Below are 23,317 nucleotides of genomic sequence, written 5' to 3'. Positions count from 1 at the left end.
AACTGGTTCTCAAGCCTTGCTGTTGGTTTTATACCAAAAGTTGTGCTCTTAAAAGACCAGTGGTTCTTAAATGGAATCACCCAAAAGAATCACCACTCATTGTGACCTACTTTAAAATGGGCACCAACTCCAGAGATGCTGCCTCGGTAGTCCTGAGGCAGGGCCTGGGAGCATGCATGTTCAAGTTCAGGTGGTTCTGCTGTGGGTGTGTTTTGGAACACTGTATTAGACTACCCTGTTTCAAGTGATGACTTTTCAGATTTCCTTTTGTGAGATGTGGTCAGTACATTCAGCTGCTTTGGGATCATGATTATTTGACCAGATCATGAGTGTAGAAAATAATGCTGCCTTTTTTTCTTCTTTATAAATCATAATTCTTTTAATTTTATTTTCTTGCCTTGTTTTTAACATTTATTTATTTATTTATGTCCTTATTCATTTTTTGAGGCAGGGTCTTGTTCTGTCACCCAGGCTGGGGTGTAGTGGCATGATCATGGCTCATTGCAGCCTCGACCTCCCAAGCTCAAGCCATTCTCTTATCGCAGCCTCCTGAGCAGCTGGGACCACAGGCATGTACCACCACACCTGACTATTTTATATTCCCCAGGCTGGTTTCAAATTCCTGGGCTCAAACAATCTTACCGCCTCGGCCTCCCAAAGTGCTGGGATTACAGGCATGAGCCACCACGCCTGGCCTTAAAATTTATTTATTTTTAATTGACAATTTAAAAAATTAAGGAGTACATTGCAATGTACTCCTTAATTTTGTTATATGGTCTCACCCATATGTATACCTTATAAAATGATTGAATCAAGCTAATTAACATATCCATCACCTCACATAATTATATATATTTTTTCCTGTGGTGAGAACATTTAAAATCTACTCTCTTAGCAATTTTCAAATACACAATACATTGTTATTAATTATAGTCACCATGCTGTACCATAGATCTCCAGACCTCATAGCTCCTGTCTAACTGAAAATTTGTACCCTTTGACCAGCATCTCCTCATTTCTCTACTCTCTGCTTCTATGAGTTTCATCTTTTTCAATTCCAAATATAAGTGAGATCACATGGTATTAGTCTTTTTGTGCCTGGCTTACTTCACTGAGCATAATGTCCTCCAGGTTCATCCATGTTGTCACAAATGACAACTTCATTTTTATTAGTTGTGGCAAGAGGAAATGCATCCATTTCATCCTAAGGAGGCCCTGAAATCTTTCAACTTGGTGTTAAGAAGCAGAGCACAGGTCTACCTCACACCATTTGAAATAGCAATCTGCTTTCCTGGAAGGACTGTGCTTCCTGCTCTGATTCTGGAGGTCAAATGGAAACAATTCTTTGAAAGAGTGTTGAAAGCATTGGTTATTCACTTGGATCCTACAGCTTGGCCAGTGATAGATCTACAAACGCCGTGAAAAGCCTAGATTGATCCTGATTTCCTGGACAGGTTTAACTGAGTGGGGTAACAGTCAGTGGTGGTTCGGCTGCACCTAAAGCCTGAATGTTGCTTCTGCTGAGTGTCAGAGTCACAGACCCAGGCTACAGTTCTTGAGAGAAGGAGGCTTGTGTTGAGTCTAGAATCAATAGATTATGAATCTATACTTGGGAGGTTTGGCAAGGTGCCGTTTTAGGACCAGACCTAAGGTATTAATTGAGGAAAAAGGCTTTGCCTATATTAGGATCAACCACAGAGCATCAAGCCAAGGATGATATTCTTCCATTTTAAACTCTAATGGAGTTTACTCTGCTGGGTTTCAGACCTGCTTGCTATCTAAGACCCCCTTTTTTCCTTCCAGTTTCTCCCTATTTGAATGGGACTATTTGCTCCACTGTGGGACAGGAATAAGATAGATATTTCCATTCTGAAAACAGATAACTTGTCTGGTTTCATAGATTTACAGATGGAAAGAAATTTTGCCCAGGGATGAATCATACCTCAGGTCTCACCCATATCTGATTTATAGAATATTTGGATAAGATTTTGGACCTAGAGTTGATGCTGGAACGGTTTAAGACTTTTGGGGATGTAGGGAAGGGGTGAAATATATTCTGCCCATGAGAAGCACGTGCATTTTAGCGGGGTGGCGTGGGGAACTGTTAACTGTGTCCCCTAAGTTCAAGTGTTAAAGTCCTAATCCTCAGTACCTCAGAATGTGACCTTATTTGGAAATAAGGTTATTGCAAATGGAATTAGTTGAGACGAGGTCATACTGGAGTTGGTGGCTGGGGGTGGCGCTAATCTAATTTGACTGGTATCCTTATAAAAGGAGGACGCTTGGACACAGACATGCACACAGGGAGAACTCCATGAGAAGATGAAGACAGAGATTGCAGTGATGTGTCTAAAGCTAAGGAACACCAAAGGTTGCCCGCAACTATGAGAAGCCAGCGGAGAGGCGTGGAATGGATTCTCCTTCAATAGCCCTGCTTACACCTGATCTCAGGTGTTCAGCCTCCAGAACTGTGAGAAAATACGCTTCTGTTGTATAAGCCATCCATTTCTGGTACTTTGTTATGGCAGCTTTAGCAAACTAATACAGATTTTAGCAGGATTTAAAGCTTCATGGAAACAAAACTTCTCCGACAATTGTCTTCATCCCTAAGTTAATCAGCCCGAAGTAAATCCCTCCATTTTTTTAAAAAAGTTTTTACATTAGATTAAATGATTATTATTATTATTTTTTGAGACAGGTCTCGCTCTGTTGCTCAAGCTGGAGTGCATGGTGCAATTTCTGAGTGTTCTCTAAGCTCAACTTATGACGTTCCCTTGTTAACTTTGCCAAGATATTTTTGGCTTATTCTCCATTTTGGTCACTTCAGGAGTCAGGAAAGCAAGTCCGCAGTTTCCTGGTCCCCAGTGGCTGGGGCAGCTTTCAGCCTGTACACCATCTGCTTCTATGAAGACAGCTGGGCAGAGAGTTGGAGGCTTCTTATGTAAAAGATGTGAGGTTTGTGTCATGGGCTGCCACTTAAGAGGGTTTTGTTGTGGTAAGAGCTGAGCATAATAATTTTCTTTTTGATGAAAAGGGAGACCAGGCATGGTGGCTCATGCCTGTAATCCCAGCACTTTGGGAGGCCAATGCAGGTGGATCACCTGCGGTCGGGAGTTCAAGACCAGCCTGGCCAACATGGTGAAACCCTGTCTCTACTAAAAATACAAAAATTAGCCGGGCATGGTGGTGGACGCCTGTAATCCCAGCTACTTGGGAGGCTGAGCCAGGAGTATCACTTGAACCCAGGATGCGGATGTTGCAGTGAGCCGAGATCGTGCCATTGCACTCCAGCCTGGGCGACAGGAGTGAAGTTTTGTCTCAAAAAAAAAAAAAAAAAAGGGATATTTCTAAAGATGAAGCACGTGGAGAAACAATGTGTCCAGACCAGCTGTGGACACCATCCCAAATTCTTGCAAATACTAAAGAAGGTGTGTTAAACGTAGTTCAACAACTATGAGGTTGGTGCCAGGATCCTTGACCAGGGAAATATGGGCGTGGAGACACACCAGACTCATCTGAACAGGTTGCTGAATCTGATTAGGAAGGAATGCGTCCCTGATTGTACAATGCCTGGAACCCCCTGCAACGTCACCCAGGATACCACCATTAGCTTGTTCTTGTCTCAGTGAAGACCATACTGTCAGGTGTTCTACAACCTTGGATGTGAGAGAATGTATAAAATCTGGGGCTCTTGGGGATGGATGATGCTGAAGCCCGGAATTAAAAAATATCCCCTGGAGCTCGGTGTTTACTTCTCCATCCTGCTCCTTCCAAGCCAGAATCCTTAGTTACCACAATGCACAGCCCGGCAAGCCCTTGCCAACAGAAAGAGCATGCAGTTGTTTGCTTTTTGAAACTTAGGACTACCTCGTCTGCTGACTTGCCTACATCACCAGAGTTGGTGGTGAGAGGTGAAGCCAGCTGGACTTCCTGGGTCAAGTCGGGACTTGGAGAACTTTTCTGTCTTGCAAGAGGATTGTGAAGTGCACCAATTAGCACTCTGTAGTTAGCAAGGGGATTGTAAAATGCACTAATCAGCACTGTAAAAACGCACCAATCAGCACTCTGTAGCTAGCAAGAAAATTGTAAAATGCACCAATCAGCGCTCTGTAAAACACACCAATTGGCATTCTATAAAATGCACCAATCAGCACTCTGTAAAACGCACCTATCAGCAGGATCCTAAAAGTAGACAATTGCAGGGAAGATTGAAACAAGGGCATTCTGATAGGACAGAAACGGAACATGGTGGGGGACAAATAAGGGAATAAAAGCTGGCCACCGCCCCCACCCAGCAGCGGCAACCCACTGGGGTCCTTTTCCACGGTGTGGAAGCTTTGTTCTTTCCTCTTCACAATAAATGTTGCTGCTGCTCACTCTTTGGGTCCATGCCATCTTTAAGAGCTGTAACACACACCACCAAGGTCCACGGCTCTATTCTTGAAGTCAGCAAGACCACAACCCTACCGGCAGGAACCAACTCTGGACACATCTCGGGGGACTAATTTGTTCAGCTGGAGTGGATTGTTTTTCCCTGGTAGGAAAGTGTTTAAGACTTCCCTATCCAGAGAAGGCAGAGAGGGGTCTAGTGGGGAGTCATTTAGCTGTATAGGGGTGGTCTTCTGTTATAGGGAGAGGGGAGTTTGATATGTGGGAAGGGCTTCAAGTACAAAATGCTCTCAGGAGTTGGGGATGCCTAATGAACTGGATTCATAGATGAGAAAGAAAGGAGAGGGGCACTTCATCTTTCATGGTACAATCAGGAAACAAGTTCCTCAAAGTGGTTTCAACAGAGAGAAATTAATGCAGGGAGTTGGTTGCCCAGGAGGAGCTGAGAAGGCACACAGCAGATGGTGAGGCAGGTGAGAGACGAATAAGGCAGGAAGCCTCCACCAGCTGTGGCCTCAGAGGTGGGATTAGCCAGAGACCAGAAGCTGGGGCACCAGGTGGAAACAGAAACCAAACCAGGGCTGCTGAGTGGGAGCTAGAACCGTGGAGGAGGGCACTGTCTGATGGGAGATGGAGCTACTGTCCGAGATGGTGCTAGAGGTAAGAGGAAGAAATACCCTCGCAGGTCCTTATTTCCAGCACCTTTTGCTCGCACAAATTTCTGGAAAGCCATTTGTCAAGGAAACCAAGAAGGGAAAATGAGACGAAGGGCCCAGATGGAGCTGAGAGCCAACTAGCAGGTGACTGGCATGACCCTGATGAATGAGGTATTGTGTTGGGTGCCTTTAAGGGGCTTCTGTTGTGTGACCATGATGTCATTGGAGATCAGAAATGTGCATTTAGCTGTTTAAGGTCACATGAGGGCAGAGGCACATGTGAATGTGGGTTCTCTGGGTTGGGTTCTCTCATGCCATGGTGATTACGGTTTGCCCTTCTGGGGAGGAAGCAAACAACTGTCTACACTCTTTGTGGGCAAGAGCTTGCCAGGCTGTGCTTCATGGTCACTAAGGATGCTGGCTGGGAAGGAGCAGGATGGGATGCTTGGGCAGAAGAGGGATACAGCTGAGGAGTTGCAGGTGGGTCATGCAGGTGGGTGGTGGTTTAGTGCTCCCGCCTGAGCTTCATGGGCTCTCTAGCCCAGCTGAGGTCAGGTCGAGTACCCAGCACCCTGTGATAAAAGGAGGGCCTGCTCATTATGGTGACATTTCTTTCCGTGGTAACTGTCTGAGCCTTTTGCTCTGGACTGAAGATAAAAAGCCACCTCTTTGTGGGAGGAGGCCACATAGACAGGCCAGGGCTGGGAGAACAATGGGCAGGTACTCCACTGGGTTCCCAGCAGCAACATTGTAGGAGCAGCCATGTGAAAAACGAGAAAGTGGGTTTTGGCCATGGTTTGGGTTATGGAGGGAGAAAGTGAGGGAAACCTCCAGGTCATGCCAAGATTTCAAAGCAGGAGCGACAGCTCTTTGGCCCAAGTGCAGGCACAGCCCTTGTTGTAATGCTGTCTGCCAGGCAACGGCTACATTCTGGGAAGACAGAGGCAACCCCCAAATCCTTTGAGCTCATCTCTTTTTGACTCACAGATGGATCTCCCCCATGAGCAACACTTTGTGGAGTTTTGGAATGGATTTCGTGTTGCAACAGTGTTTTCTAGCTGGTTGTCTAATTTAAGTGGTGAGTCTGCAGAATGTCCAGGGAGGATTTGAATTCAGATGATAAGGCTGCATGGATTGCAATGCTGACAGATTTATGCACAGCATTGCAGGAAGGTCTCCAAGTCACTGAAAATGTTTCTGAAGGTCACTGCAAACTCTTTGCGTGGGACATAATCTATGAAAGTTTTGAGTTCTCCTTGTTTTCTCTAGAGTAATGATTCTGAAATACTGTTGCTAAGTGGTCAAAGCTACTTTTCTCAGCCCTTTTCTTTCTCCTCTCATTTTCTGTTGGTTCCTTCTGGAAGGAAGGAGAAGCATTTTCTCACTGAAGCAACATCTAAGTTACAATGCCTCATGCTCACCATTGCTCCAGGCCCCAGGGTGCTTTGCAGTTATGCAGTCCTGTCTAAATGAGTGCTCCAGTGGATGACAGAAAATGCTGCTTCAAAGATGTTAACCTGGATGCATAGAAAATTTTCTTGTTTTTTTGTTTTTTTTTTTTTTTTTTTTTTTTGAGACGGAGTCTCGCTCTGTCCCCCAGGCTTGAGTGCAGTGGCATGATCTCGGCTCACTGAATAAGTGTTGACTATAGAAAAAAAGAGAAAATTAGAAATGGTACCTTGACTCTACACTTCTAACAATCGCAGTCTGCTGTATTCTGGTAGTTTCCTGATGCGAAGGACGTTAAGCAACGTGTGTGTGTGTGTGTGTGTGTGTGTGTGTGTGTTTTAAATCTAGGATTGAATACAGACCATCTATTTTGGGTCTGAATGACCCAGTCTGGCAGTGGGTGATCTCATTCCATTGGACAATTTGGTCCAAAAAGCATTTCATTAATTACACTCAGCGCAACAACTTGCCCAGGAATCTGCTTCTGTGCTTGGAGAATAATCCCACTTTATAAACAATCCACTTTATTTAGCACAGGCCTTCAAGAAAACACCAGACACTGACATGATGAATTGCTCTCTTGGGAGCACGGGTGGGTGAGACTGGGGAGGAGGATGGGAAGTGAGAACTTGGTCCGTTTACCGGAAGACAGCAGCACACAGATCTGCTTGCACCCTGTACCTCATTGTCTAGGATAACAGGATTCCACAGCCTTGCCCTGATAGAAGCAACTCGGCAATTAATGGGTTGATGGCCCACAGTCCTTCCAAGGAAAACCCATGTTTGCTTGCTGCAGCCACGTGGACAACAGGCAGGCTCACCACAATGCCTGCAGGCCCTTCCTGGTCTCTCAATTTCACTCCTTCAACAAGCGTTTAGCAGATGCCTCCTCCTTATTACCTTCTGTATTAGGTGCTGGGGATACACTGGGAGAAGGTTCTTGTTCTTAAGGAACTTCTGATCCTACAGCAAGCCAGTGATGAGGGGAGAAGTGGTAGAATGGGGGGGATTCACAGCATGAGCACACAGAGGAGGGATACTCACTATGGGGCAGGGAGTGGAGGCTGGTGCTTAGTCGTCAGCATTCATTCTCTGGAACTCTGTGGACCCGTGCTTCTATATTTGCACATAGTAAGTTCTAATTTAACCATGAATTTTGGAAAAACCGTGATCATAGAGTTTCTTTCTCTGTCTTCCTTTCTCATCTCTTCCTCCTTTCTCTCTCCTTATGAACAGCGGTCTTTTCAAAGTTAGCCCATAGGATTGGGACCAAGCCTGAGATTCCAAACAGTGTTGGAGAGGGTGGAGTGTAGAGAAGCACCTGAGTCTCATGGTGAAGTTAGAGACAGGGACCCCGAGGCCTGGCATGATTGGAAGCAGGGCACAAAGATGAGTGTAGAGCAGAGGCCAGCGGGAGGGTAAGGAGCCTGGAGGTCAGGAGGCCTGCAGAGGGGAGAAGAGCAGAAACAGGGTCGGGAAGTGCCCCAACCCAGCAGTCCCTGCCTCCGCAAACAAGACTTGCTGGACACCAAGGCAGCCTCCTGACCTGACTTGCACACCAGTCACACACTTGCCTCCCAACAGGAATGACTAGACTCCGGAGCTCACCTGAGGCCTGCAGGTAGGAGCTGGAGAAGGATGAGGTCGGGGCGAGGAGTTCGCGGAAGCATTGGCAGGCCTGGACTCTCCTTTGCGCTGTTTCGTGGTTTATTTCCCAGCTCTAAACAAGGACGTCCTGCAAACTTCTGATGGGTTTGGTTTTGTGGTAACTTCTTAGAGAGCTCAGAGCATCAAGGAAGAACATTTCCTCAGGATGCTGAGGCGTGGACTGGCTTTCATCTCAATTTTCTTCAGCTGATTTCCTTCAATGTTGTTTTTCTCTTTTGAACAAAAGAATATGCTGTTTGTTCGGTCACATGGACTTGTGGTTACTCACCCGTGGAAGGAGGCCACCCCTCGAGACTCTGGCAAGAGCAGGGGAAATTCCTTTCAACACCAGCCCCGAGGAATTCTCATGATCCTGGTTTCCATTTTGGTCAAATTAAAGATGAAAGGACTCGATCCAGCACTGAGGAGGACGATAGTTTTGATTCTGAGGGAGACACAGCTAGATGAAAAACCAGGCTAACCTTTTATCTGGTATGAGAGTGGAGAGGCACATCCTGTGACAAATTGAGCATCCATTGTGTGAGGAATTCCTGCTTCAGGCCCCATCTCAGAAATCAAAGCCTTGTAGGTGAGGAGAAACAACCGTGAGGCGGCAGGTTTATTTATTTATTTTCCCACCAAAGTCTTAGATAACTTTACTGGGTGCCTGCCTTCTTTTTGGTTTTGTGTTTGCATAATTTTAGAAATGCCATTAGGAATAGCTGCTTTCCTAGAGAAAGTTTCCAGTTGGTAAAAACAGGACAAGCTGTTTTCGATAATCATGAACCTTTTCATTTGAAGGGTTCTTTTCCATACTCCTGACTCCCACCACCTCTGATATAGGTAATTCCATGAACTTTAGCACTTCTTGATTTGGTATTCTTTAAAAAATTTTAAATTGTGGCAATATACACATAACATAAAATTTAACATCATATCCAATTCTTTTATTTTTAAAAAGATTTATTTATTTATTTGAGATAGGGTGTCGCTCTGTTACCCAGACTGGAGTGGAGTGGTGTGATTACAGCTCACTGTGGCCTCAACCTCCTGGGTTCAAACAATCCTCTCACCTCAGCCTCCTGAGTAGCTGGGGCTACAGGCTCACGTCCCCACACTGTTTAATTTTTTAAATTTTTTGTAGAGATGGGATCTCACTATGTTGCCCAGTCTGGTTTCAAACTCCTGGCCTCAAGCAGTTCTCCTTCCTTGGTCTCTGAAAGTGTGGAGATTATAGGCATGAGCCCCTGTGCCTAACCTCCGGAAGTCTTTCCATCCTCCCGAACTGGAACTCTGTACACGTTAAATCCTAACTCCCCACTTCCCTAGCCCCACTCTGCAGTCCCTGGCATCCCCTTTCTACTCTCAGTCTCTACGAGTTTGACTAATCTAGGACCTTATATAGGTGGAATCAGCAATACTTGTCATTTTGTGACTGGCTTATTTCACTTAGCATAATGTCCTCATAGATTTGGCATTCTTTTACTTTGTCTTTAAAATACTATTTCCTCTTAACATCCAAGGGCTAACTCATTTAAACTTTGGAAAGGTCATCAATAAAATTTAAAAATATTTCCTAAGCCTGGAAATTGTAAAGACAAGTATGGATCTGTGAAACACCCTATTGCTTGCAGCAGAGCGGAACATCTCAGAGGTGAAAAACCAAGTGAAGAAGAGGCTCGTGTTAAGTGGCGCCAGCTGGGAACGTCCTGTACAGTAGGGCGCTGAGCCCTCAGGCCCGCAGCCAGGGGTAGGGGATTCTCTGCAGATGTGCCCTCCTCATGGCTGGTGCCGGTGGTCACGCTGCTCTCCTGGGGCCGTGGCGACAGCTGTCCATGGAGTAGGGCTGGCAGCGGCTCTGGAGGGAGGCATCTGCCCGGGCTGTCACCGGAGTGAAAGAACAGGAGGCAGCTGCGCAGAGGCAATGGCAAGGACAGGAGCAGAGGACACAGAAAAAACACCCTCGATCTCCTTGTGTGCTTTCCCCCAAAGCACAGGCCCCAGCCTGGTCATCGTGCCTCCCCAAAGTCAGGGAATACCCCAGAGGCTGTTCCTCCTCTCCGTGTTCAGGCCTGGCAGTCTGTTCTTGGACAGAGAAGGCTCATGCCAAGGCAGCTGCCCGGCAGTGTCACACGAATGCTGGAACAAGGGGGGCTGGGTGAGGACACCAGACCATTCATCTCACAGACACGGCCTTTAAAAGCTCCTTGAGGTTTTCTTATGTCTCAGTAGCAATGCAAATAATCTCTAAGAACCGTGACACCATCTTTTTCAAAGACATGTAATTTGCTACTGTCAATAACACGGATTTCCCACCCGAAAGAGCCAATGTGTTTTCTCGCTATTTATCAAATCTTTTATACTCTGATGACTAATGGAAAATACAATGGCAATTTGTTACTGTTTTGGCATTGTTTGCTATCAGAAGTGACACTGGAACAAAGGGGTAATAAGTTATGGTTGCATTCAAAGTTTATTCTCTCCTGCGGGAGTATACACACTCACATATCAATAGGAGTTGATAACTATAATGTGTGTAGCCTTTATGAATTATCTGTGTAATAATTTTCACTTTAAAAAAGCATGTTCCCATCCGTCAGTTCATTTCGGCATCACGAGAATGTTTATGATATTGTTTCAGTTGAACAGAACGAGACTTAAAGGAGAAATGGCTTGTCGAAGGCCCTATAGGAAGTCAATTGGGGCTAAAATTAGGTCTCCTGAGTCTTAAACCAGGGCTCTTTCCACTAAACTGTACTTGAGAAGAAGGTGTCAGAACCACAGGAAGCATGGTGAGAGATGTGTTTCTTTCTCCTGCTGACTTCTCCCCAGCCCCAGCCCAGACAATTCTGAAATGTTAGAGTAGTGATTGCTTGAGAACCAAGGGGACTATTTGGCTGAGCTGTTTAAAATTGCCGTTTTTAAAAGATTAAAACAGTCAAATATCAACAATTGCAAATGTTTCAAACTAATTGCTCTCCCCAGATTTATATAAGGTTATATTTCCCGTGTAGCGTCAAATTGGTCTTTTTATTGGTTAATTTGGCTGGTCGCTTTGCTTTCAATTTTGCTGCCCCTTGGTCTGAAACAGCCAGTGACCTCAGATCATTGTTTTAGTGGCTTCTGTAACCAAATCGAGCCAATTATAGAGGCAGCTGGCCAAACCATGCAATTAACCCCAAGCAAGGCAATTCAGGGTCATGTAAGTATGACTCACAAATGACCAGCCTATAAGAATTTTCAACAGGTCTAACCTGCTCTTGGTTACTGCACATTTTGCCTGAAAAAACAATTAGATCATATTCTTTTTCTGTTCATCTGGCATACGTTTGCATGAGTTCTGGTGAGTGGGAGATTTCCAAGGCTGTTACAGGGGGATCATTAGAAAATCAGGAGGGATCTTGGCCGAATGTCAAGAATGAAGGAGCAGCAAGTCAAGCCGCCAAGGAAACACACATTAGAGTCATTCGTTCTCACCACTCGGCGGAAGCTGGTAACTCGCTCCACTGGCCAGGCTTCCCACCATCTGGAGTGGAGTCCGGGTGCTCCTACCAGGGATGGATGAGCTCCAAGTGCAGGCAGCCTGGCACAAGGGCCGCGGCCACCAATGCTGGAAGATAGAGCCTCCTGCTTCCTGCAGACAGCAGAGCAATGAGGATGGCGCTTTGTGCCTTTTCTGGTTACAAGGTGCTATTGTGAATCACTTGATGTTGAGCGTGAAATTACATGGAGCTGTGAAGCCTTTGGTGCTGCCGACTGGGAGGAGCAGTGTTTCCAAGGTGTTTCTCTGTGTCCCTGTTTCTGGCAGCGAGGGCTTCATTTTCACTTTGCGTTCCAAGTGGGGAGAGTTTACAAAAGGGCAGGGCAGAAGAACAGTGGTTCCCACAGAAAGATTACAGATGCATGGGCTAATGTTAGAAAGACAGCAAGGGGCAGCTGCCCACAATCCCGGCAGGAACGTGTCAGACCATGCTGGAGGAAAGCAAAGTCAATGGAGAATGACTTGGTGCAGTGGAAAGTCAGCTCTATGGACCAAAATCCTTCAGCAACCCTGATTTGTAACATTTGCCAATATCTGTGGTGTAAAAAATACTCCCACTGTGGCCAATTTCAAATTGCCAATAGCTTAACAACTGGCTTGCAAAATTTCTGGGTGTTTGATACTCTTCTCTTTAGAGCCTGTGTGAGTTGGCTCCAAAGAGGCACTGAGTGGCTTAAAAACGGAAATCAGGCAAATGTATAAGCAAAGTTAAAGTTTACGTAAGGATATTGGGGTGAGAAGCAAGTGTCTCGGAGTGACCCATCCCCTGCCCTATTTCGTTTGCCTCCCTTTTTTGTAAGTTCTCCAAGGATCAGCACTCCCTTGACCAATCACAAGCATCCCAGTCCCAGGTGACCTAACCCACTCAGGCCCCACCCCTGCAGTCCCTAGAGCTGGTGGTCTTCCTACAGACCCCCTTCTACACTTGCGTGGCATCAGCAACGCGTGCTGCACCTGCAGTGCAGAGGTCTCGGGTTCCAGCAGGCAGGCTGAGCACTGAGGGCAGGTTGCTTGTCTCCTGGAGGGAGCCGTTGAGGAGCTGTCACTTCGCTGGAGCATGTATTGGCCTCAGATTCCTCCCCTAGCGGGCTCCATGCATAATTTTAAAAAGCCAATTGCAGGAGTAGGAATTCAGTTCAATTGTGGGGAAGGTAGAACCCAGCTTTTAGGTAGTGTGGGTTTATAATTCTATAGGATGGGCTTATTCAGAAATAAATTCATGTGACTCTGAGTGAAGAATTGAGTATCTAATAATAAATTTTTCTTCCAGTTATGCAACCATTAGTGCTGTGTTTGTGTTTTGGCCAACACGCTTTTTAAGCTAGGCCTCAGTTTCCTGAGTGCAAAAATGAGTGGCAGAAATGAACTGAGGTCTGAGGCTTCTGTCTGTCCTGGCATGCTGTGGTTCTGGGACGCTAGTGGTGCCAGGGCACCGTTTCCCCACACTTTTCCATAAAGTCTTCAATCCCTTTATACATTTGATTGTTGGTTTTTGTACTCCTGGGACACCTAGTGCTCCACTGAACATCACTATTTAGCTGTGCCACAAACAAGGTATTTTTTGGCTACACAAACTTGGAGTGCACTGTAGGTCAAACTAGCACTTTACTATGAGTTTTCCTTAGAATCTCTGATAGTCCAGGGTACATTGTGTATGTCTGTTTCCAAAAGGGAAACTCAATGCTCATGGATTCCCAAATGTTTTAACTGCAAATCATCTTGTTGTTTTTTTTTTAAATACTGTATTAGTCTCCTAGTGCCACAAATTGGGTGACTCAAAACAACAGAAATTTATTTTTTCACGGTTTTGGAGGCTGGAAGTCTGAAATCGAGGTGTTGGTGGGGCCATGCTGTCTGCAGGTTCTAGGGAGGGGGTCAGCTCCATGCCCTTGCCTTTACTTCTGCTGTTGCCAACAATCCGTGGGGTTCCGTGGTGCATCAGCGTCACTCCAGCCTCTGCCTTCACAATCAGGTATGCTCTCCCTGCATGCCTCTGTGTCTCCTCTTCTCTCTTATAAAATCACCAATCCTATTAGATCAAGGCCCAACCAAATCTATTATGACCTCACTTTACCTTCATTACATCTGCAAACACCCTATTGGCAAATGTGGTCACAATCACAGGTACCAGGGGTTGGGATGTCACCATATGTTTTGGGAGGACACAGATTCAACCTACAGCAGACAGTTTTTAACGTTTCCTAAAAGTGGGACTCCAATGAACAGGGCTTGGGAAATGCTGTCCCCAAAATTGAAAATTTATTAATAATTAGGATTCACTAACCAGATACATGATAAAACCTTTAGGCCAGGGGTTCTGAACCTGATACCAAGGGATTCATGGTCTTGAATGAGAAAAAAAATTATTTATTTGTACTAATTGCTAACTGAAATTTAGCATTTCTTTCACGTATGAGCATAGGCAACAAACCACAGTAATATCAGTAGTTCCTGTGAATTTGTTACCAAAGAAATCACAGAAATTTTCTTCTCACACTATAGTTGTTGCAGATATCTTGGGAAGTCACTTATTCTCGTTGCCATTTCAAAATCATGGTGGTTATTAGAGCTGCCAGTAGACCTTATTTAATGTGTTAATGAGGAAACAAATGTAATAATGTAAAATATTTTAGTATCTTGATAGCTGTATTTCCTTTTAATCATTTGTGTTTTGTTTATTGAAAACACTATTCTGGCCTGGTGTGGTGGTTCATGCCTGTAATCTCAGCACTTTGGGTGGTCAAGGCAAGAGGATCACTTGAGTTCAGGAGTTCGAGACCAACCTAGACTGTATAGTGAGATCCCGTCTCTACTAAAAATACCAAAATTAGCCAGGTGTGGTAGTGTGCACTTGTAGTCCCAGCTACTTGGAAGGCTGAGGTGGGAAGATCACTTGAGCCTGGGAGGCAGAGGTTGCAGTGAGCCATGATGGCACCACTGCACTCAAGCCTGGGTGACAAAGTGAGACCCTGTTAAGAAAAAGAGAAAGAAAGAAGGAAAGAGAGAAAGAAAAGAAAGAAAGAAGAGAGAGAGAAAGGAAGAGAAAAAGAAACAAAGAAAGAAAGAAAGGGAGGGAGGGAGAAGGAAGAAGGAAAGAAAAAGAGAAGAGAAGAGAGACCGTAAGCTTTACCAGCCAGCCAAAGGGGTCATGCCCTAAAAATGTTAAGAATCTCTGTCTCCACTTATGGCTCTCATAGCCCAAACAGGCCAGCTTCCCACAGAGGGTTTAACCAAGAGATACACAATAGCAGAATCTTTCCATTTTTACAATTAAAATACAACTGATAAATCAGTCAAATGTGGATATCATCATTTTATTTGTAAATAAAATATCAAAATAGGACAAAATATAAAAATAAAATGCACAGAGGCACAACAAAATGTTCCATTAATCCAATAATCTTCCATTGTTTTCACTGTATTCTTTATAAATAGGTCACATTACCAAGGAAAGATTTGTCTAAATATTGAGTTCATTTGGAAACTCTCGATATGCCTTGGAGTATCTGAATCATTTACCAGGAAACACATTTTGGTATGTGTATGTGTTCAAAGATATCAAATAGTTGAATATATTCTGTTCCTGTAAGGAATAGATCTGGGTTTGCCCAAGATAGAGGGGTTTCCTGAGACATGGGACTTCCCCTGCAAAAACTGGGAAGTCCTGGGCAAACAGGGAAGAGCTGGGCCAAATTTCTCAACTTCGTGTATGAACATGGTTGTGCTGCGGCCGGAGTTTTGGTAGAAACCACCATGACTCATAGTCCCCCAGAGGAGATCTCAGGAGCACTTTGGCCTTGTGAAGGCCAAATTCCAGCCCGGCTCTGCCTCAGCACCCTCCCAGAACCAGGCACCTCACGTAATCTTCTGAGCCTGTTTCCTCATCTGTGAAACATGGAGACGCCGGTGGGTGCCCTGCCCCTCCCAGGGCTCCTGGAGGATTCCAATGAGATAAGTGTTGTGAAAGCACTTTGTAAACTGCAAGTGTGCCGCAGAAATGCAAAATACAGAACAATTCTTTAATCTCACGTGGCAGCAGCAAAATATGTGTGCATCCATGGCACACTTTTGTATTATAAGAAGGATGTTAGCCCATCCCTTTAGTCCTTTCTTTCATGGACACTCAAACCCCAGATCCCCTATCATTAAGAGCGCAGCAAGGCTGTGGGGAAGTAGGCCTGGGTGTCCCTGGGCTTTTGTCTGCCACCTCCTTCCCCTCAAGGTGCCCCAGCGCCCTCATCCTGCCTCCTCCCCGGCCAAACTCTCCTTCTTGTATCCCACCTAGAGCCTGCAAGCATGGTCTGTCCTTCAAAACATGCCCGCTGTATGCCATTCCTACTGGACAGGAGTCCTCGCTGTCAGCTGCATGTTAGAGCCACTGGGGAAGCTTTCACTGTCCCCATGCTGGGACTTCCACTGATGATTGCATCAGAATCTCTGGGGGAGGGCTTCAGACACCCCAGGTATTATATTGTATAGCTTGGATTGAAAACACAACTTGAGTGTTGCCTGGAGGTTAATTAGAAAAAGGACTCCCCATTCATCTGTTAGCGAGCGATGTTGTTACCCCACCCACAGAGCCCTTTGCTTGAATCCAGGCAACCTACCAGGCTCCTGAACAGTCTTCTCAAAGAAGTGTTTCTTGAAGGTCTCCAGTGCACCTCACCCTGGGCTCCACCGGCCCTCATTACGCTGCCATGGATGACGTTAGCCTCATCTTCAGTTGAGAAAGCTGAGACTCAGCAAGTTTCCTTGTAACTAGGGAGGGGCAGGGCAGTGGTTTAAAATAAAGCCATGCACACCTCCTTCCCCAGAGCATCCAGTGCCTTGCTGATGGAAAAGCCACCGCTGCTGAGAAAGGCAGCTGTGCCTGGGCCCCGCAGGTCACACTGGAGTCCTCACCTCCATCTCTGCATTCTGGTGCATTTGGAAGAGGATTTCTAGAGGTGGGAGAGGAGATGTAACTTCCCCCACCTCCTTCGCATCTTCTAACAGTTGCAGCCTCCTCTGCTTTGCGCATTCACAGGGAGGAGCATGGGCAGCACCTGCATGGGTGGCACACAGCCTCAGCCTGCAGGAGCATACACACCCCAACAGCACTCGTTCTGCAGCTGTGGCCTGCACCTTCCTCAACCCCTGGCCCCTCATCTAGGCTGTTACAGGGGAACTGGAATCCACCCGGCTCAGGGCCCAGGTACTTCCGCAAGAGGCTGTTGCCCTAAGGTAAGGCTCTGACGTTCCAAGTCTTAGGCATCCAGTATTTTGGTGGGATTTGAAAGACCTTACAGAAGAGACCCTCCTATTGTGCCCCAATGAGTCCTCCCAAATCCATGCAGTTCCCAGTTTCTTGCAGGTCCCCAGTGTACCTCACCCTGGGCTCCACCGACCCTCGTGATGCTCCTGGGGGTGATGCTGGCCTCATCTTCAGTTGAGAAAGCTGAGGCTCAGCAAGGTTCCTTGAAGAGCCACTCCTTTCCCAAACTATGCCATCCCCAAGAGTCCTGTGCTGAAGTGTTTAGAATCCATGATGATTTGTCCATTTGCCTGTTGTCTGGCGTGATCCCTTGTAGAACTCCGTAATACAGCATGAAAGTCCTCTGAGGCCTAGAGTCTTAATTCCATGCTCTTGGGCCCAGTGCACACCAGTGTTCTTGTCAATGAAATGATGAGTTTCATCTTTTCCTCACATATTTCTACAGTACTGAGGTTGGGATCATTTGAGATAATGGACAAGAAATTGATTTTTGTACAACAAAGTCCGTCTGACAATGTGTGAGATAGTTTCATTACTGTCACTGGGAAAAAAAATTTGTATTGGTCTGCTTTCCAATATGGCAACTGACTGAGAGCAAGAAAGACAAAGAATGTTTCAGTTTCTGAAGGGCAAGTTTGGAGAGAAAATTCCTGCCCATAGAGGTCATGTGGCTGAGGTTGAATGCTGTGGTGAGAAGCTCCTGGTATCCTGAGGACTACCTCAGAGTTTTGGGAATTTGGAGAAGGCAGCCAAAGTGTGGAGGAAAGAAAATTAAAAGGGAGAAGAAAGAGAACTCACTTATTTTGCATTTTGTCAACAGCTCAGCCCATCCTGAGACAGGTGATGAAGACATGGCAAGCCTTCCAGAAGCTGCTGTGTGTGTGTGTGTGTGTGTGTGTGTGTGTGTGTGTTTCAGACTCGGTAGGAAAGGATGGGCCATTGACAAGAATAACACAGACCAGCAGGCAGAGCAGGCATCACAGGAGACGCCCTAAAGGACAATAAGGAAGCAGGCTTGTGTGCAGCTGGGCCTGGCCTCCCTGGTGTGAACTGACTGGCTGGCACCAGGCAAGGTAGGCCGGACCTAGGGTGTGGTGGCTCATGAGGCCATTAGAGCATCTGTCAGGCCCAGCACCCAGGGCTTGTGCAGTGGGGCAGGCCCTACCCTTGCAACCGTGCAGGGAGAGGGTGAACTCAATCCAGAGCACTTCCTTCTTAGGGGGCCACATGTCCGTTGTGATTTCAGGGATTTGAGCACCTGCTTTTTCTGGCATATATTCTGTGGTCTTGTGGACACAGTATTGGCTGTGGCCCAGGCTCTGCCCTGGTTCTCTTCCCGACAGACTGTGTGGCCATGGGCAAGTCGCATCACTTCTCTGGGCTGCCACATCCTCTTTGATAAGACGATGAGGTTGGGCTAGATGACCTCTAGAATCCCTTCCGACTTGCTGTCAGATTGCTCTAGGATCCAAGATTCGTTTCTAAGACAATATTGAGAGGCAATACGGCCTATATGGCTGGATCCTGTGAGACGGGGGTTTACACACATTCTGATGCTGTACAATCTTCACGTTAAAAGCAAATACTGGAATATGGCATTCCTCAAAAAAATTAAACGTAAAATTACCATATGATCCAGCAATTCTACTTCCTAATACATATGCAGATGAATTGGAAGCAGAGTGTCAAACAGATAGTTGTACACCCATGTTCATAGCAGCATTACTCACAATAACCAAAGGATGGAAACAAACCAAGTATCCACCAACAGATGAATGGATAAAAAAAAGTGACATATCACAAAGGAATGTGATTCAACCTTAAAAAGGAAGGACATTCTGATACATGCTACAACATGGATGGACCTGGAGGACAATGTGTTGAGTGAAATAAGCCAGATACAAAAGGTCAAATACTGTATGATTCCGCTTACATGAGTCATCACCTTCCTAGAGACATGAAGTAGAAAGGTGGCTGCCAGGGACTGGGGCACTCACTGGGTAATCGGAAGTTACTTCTTCATGGATGCAGATTTTCACCTTGGGAAGATGAAAAATGTTCTGAAAATGGTGCTGGAGGTTGCACAACAATGTGAATGTATTTAATGTCACTGAAATTTACACTTAAAAATGGTTAAAACTTTATGGTATGTATATTTACCACAGTACAAAAAGCATGGCCGGGTGTGGTGGCTCATGCCTGTAATCCCAACACTTTGGGAGGCCGAGGCGGGCGGATCACTTGAGGTCGGGAGTTTGAGATCGGCCTGGCCAACATGGTGAAACCCTGTCTCCACTAAAAATACAAGAATTAGTTGGGTGTGGTGGTGCACGCCTGTAATCCCAGCTACTCGGGAGGCTGAGGCAGGAGAATGGCTGGAACCTGGGAGGTGGAGGTTACAGTGAGCCGAGATCATGCTACTGAACTCTAGCCCCTGGGTGACAGAGCGGGACTCTGTCTCAAACAAACAAACAAAAAACAAACTCCAAAACCAAAAAACAAACAAAAAACCCAAAACAAAAAACAAACCGAAATGCAAATACTAGGATGTTTATGTATCTTAACATGTTAAATTTAGTATAAGAAATAATTGTAAATCATAATTTGTGCTGGCATATAGCCCTCTTGTTTGATATGAGTGAAACTAATCATTGAATAATTAATTTGAAAAATTAAAGTGGGAAATTACTAGAATGATGCTTCTATACTCTATTTATTCACCAATCATCAGATTCTTTCTTCGTACTTAGGTTTGCTGAGAATTCAGCATGGTCTTTCTTACATAAACCACACTCAAAGTACATCATTTACAAATTCCAGTTTCAGAGTCTTTAACATAGAATTTGTTAGAAATCTTAGAGATCTTAGAGACACTTAAGAAGAACAATGAATGCAGATTCCTTCTAGGTTTCCTGACCCTTCCCCAAGCCCAATTCTTTCATAATTGCATTGCCCCACCTAATTCCATATCTATATCAAATCTATATCTATATCACTATCAGTTTATATAAGAGTTTAAACAACTAAGCTTTATAAAGTTTTCCCAAAGCATTCAAGTTATTATGGAAATGACAATAACATTCACCACCCACTTCAATGGGCTTGTGGACAAACACAGTTCTCAGTTTGTAAGCACAGAACTCAATTAGAGGAACAGATGTGTACAGCACACTGTAAAATGGGTGAAAAGACAAGCATCAGGTGGGCGAAGACAGTTGCAACACGTATACTGACAAATGACTAGGATTTCAAATATACAGAAAGAACTTAACCAGATTAATATGGAAAAGAAATAACCCAATAAGAAAAGGGGCTTATTAGACAGGCACAAAACCAAAGAGGAAATTCAGATGGTCAACAAACATGAAAAAGTGGCTCAAATTTATTAGTCATCAGGAAAATGCAAACTAAAACTACAATGAGATAGCCTTACACAGGAGACAGGAAAGAACTAAAAATTCTGAAAATACTAATCGTCAGCAAGGGTTTAGAGCCACAGCAACTCTAGCGAAAGTTCTATGAACTTAGAACTTAGAATTCATAGAGTCTAGTGAAACTCTATGAATGCCATTTTGGAAAGCAGTTGCCCTGTCTATGAGATTGAATATCCACATGCTCAGAGATGGATAAATTCCTGGAAAGATACAACCCTCCTAGCTAAAATCAGAAAGAATTAGATACCCCGAACAGACCAATAACAAGCAACGAGGTTGAAATGGTAATTAAAAATGTACCAACAACAGGCTGGGCATGGTGGCTCACAACTGAAATCCCAGCACTTTGGGAGGCCGAGGCCGGTGGATCATGAGGTCAGGAGATCAAGACCATCTTAGCTAACACGGTGAAACCCCATCTCTACTAAAAATACAAAAAATTAGCCAGGCGCGGTGGCGGGCGACTGTGGTCCCAGCTACTCGGGAGGCTGAGGGAGGAGGATGGTGTGAACCTGGGAGGCAGAGCTTGCAGTGAGCTGAGATTTCACTACTGCACTCCAGCCTGGGCGACAGAGCGAGACTCCATCTCAAAAAAAAAAAAAAAAAAATGTACCAACAACAAAGAAGTCCAGGACCAGACAGATTCACAGCAGAATAAGTCCAGGACCAGATAATTCACAGCAAAAATCTTATCAGACATTCAAAGAAGAATTGGTACCAATCCTACTGATGCTATTTCACAAAATAGAGAAAGAGGGAACCCTCCCTAAATCATTTTATGAAGCTAATATCACCCAAATACCAAAACCAGGAAAGAACATAACCAAAAAAGAAAACTACAGACCAATATCCCTATATGCAAAAAAATTTTATCAAAATACTAGCTAACTGAATCTGACAACATATCAAAAAGATAATCCACCATGATCAAGTGGGCTTTATACCAGGAATGAAGGGATCCTTTAACATATGCAAGTCAATAAATATAATACACCACATAAACAGAATTAAAAACAAAAATCACCTGATTATCTCAATAGATGCAGAGAAAGCATTTGACAAAATCCAGCATCACTTTATGTTTAAAACTCTCAGCAAAATCAGCATACAAGGGTCATACCTCAATGTAATAAATGCCGTCTATGACAAACCCACAGCCAATATAATACTGAATGGGAAAAGGTGAAAGCCGTTTCAACTGGAACAATACAAGGATGCTCACCCTCACCACTCCTCTTCAACATAGTCCTAGAAGTCCTAGCCAGAGCAATCAGACAAAAGAAAGAAATAAAGGGCATCCAAACTGGTAAAGAGGAAGTCAAACTGTTGCTGTTTGCTGAGGATATAATTGTTTACTTAGAAAACCCTAAAGATCCCTCCAGAAAGCTCCTAGAACTGATAAAAGAATTCAGCAAAGTTTCTGGATACAAAATTAATGTACACAAATCAGTAGCTCTTCTATAGACCAATAACAACCAAGCTGAGAATCAAATCAAGAACTCAACCCCTTTAACAATAGCTGCAAAAAAGAAAAAAAAAAAAAAGAAAGAAAGAAATACTTAGGTATATACCTAACAAAGGAGGCAAAAGATCTCTATAAAGAAAACTACAAAACACTGCTGAAAGAAATCACAGATGACATAGATGGAAACCTGTCCCATGCTAATGGATGGGTAGAATTGATATTGTGAAAATGACCATACTGCCAAAAGCAATCTACAAATTCATTGCAATTCCCATCAAAATACCACCATCATTCTTCACAGAGTTAGAAAAAACAATTCTAAAATTCATATGGAACCAAAAAAGAGCTCACATAGCCAAAGCAAAACTAAGCAAAAAGAACCAATCTGGAGGCATCACATTACCTGATTTCAAACTATACTATAAGGCCATAGTCACCAAAACAGCATGGTACTGGTATAAAAATAGGCACATAGACAAATGGAACACAACAGAGAACCCAGAAATAAACCCAAATACCTACAGCCAACTAATCTTTGACAAAGCAAACAAAAACAAAGTGGTGAAGGACACCCTTTTCAACAAATGATGCTGGGATAATTGGCTAGCCACATGTAGGAGAAGGAAACTGGATCCTCATCTCTCACCTTATAAAAAATCAACTGAAGATGAATTAAAGACTTAAATCTAAGACCTGAAACTATAAAAATTCTAGAAGATGACATTGGAAAAACCGTATTAGACTTTGGCTTAGGCAAGGATTTCATGAAGAGGCACCAAAAAGCAAATGCAGTAAAAACAAAGATAAATATCTGGGACTTAATTAAACTAAAGAGCTTCTGCACAGCAAAAAGAACAGTCAGCAGAGTAAACAGACAACCCATAGAGTGGGAGAAAATCTTCACAATCTATACATCTGACAAAGAAAGGGCTAATATCCAGAATCTACAACGAACTCAAACAAATCAGCAAGCGGCTTGCAACTTAGCTCACACCCGACAAATCAGATGGTAAGGAGAGTTCACTAAAATGCTAATTAGGCAAAAACAGGAGGTGAAGAAATAGCCAATCATCTGTTGCCTGAGAGCACAGGGGGAGGGACATTGATCAGTATATAAACCCAGGCATTCGAGCCAGCAACGGCAACCCACTTTGGGTCCCCTCCCCTTGTATGGGAGCTCTGTTTTCACTCTATTAAATCTTGCAACTGCAAAAAAAAAAAAAAAAAAAAAAAAGAAAAAAAAGAAAAAAGTGGGCTACGGACATGAATAGACAATTCTCAAAAGAAGATATACAAATGGCCAACAAAAGTGTGAAAAATGCTCAACAACCCTAATTATCAGGGAAATGCAAATCAAAACTACAATGTGATACCACCTTACTCCTTTAAGAATAGCCATAATAAAAAAAATTTAAAAATAGGCTGGGCACGGTGGCTCATGCCTGTAATCCTAGCACTTTGGGAGGCTGAGGCAGGCAGATT

At 44.4% G+C, this 23,317-nt stretch overlaps 1 long non-coding RNA gene across 1 annotated transcript; it reads right to left on the bottom strand.

Annotated features, from left to right (window-relative positions):
- Positions 1–6,995: 6,995 nt before the first annotated feature.
- Positions 6,996–8,350, bottom strand: KU-MEL-3 (uncharacterized LOC497048). Its single transcript, NR_122107.1, has 2 exons — positions 8,103–8,350; positions 6,996–7,937 (listed from the first exon to the last, which is right to left on the bottom strand). It is a non-coding gene; the product is annotated as an uncharacterized LOC497048 (long non-coding RNA).
- Positions 8,351–23,317: the final 14,967 nt, after the last annotated feature.

Source organism: Homo sapiens, chromosome 6, assembly GCF_000001405.40.
Source record: "Homo sapiens chromosome 6, GRCh38.p14 Primary Assembly".
NCBI classification, from domain to species: Eukaryota; Metazoa; Chordata; class Mammalia; order Primates; family Hominidae; genus Homo; species Homo sapiens.
Note: the sequence above shows the minus strand (reverse complement) of the source record. Positions and strands in the feature narration are given on the sequence as shown.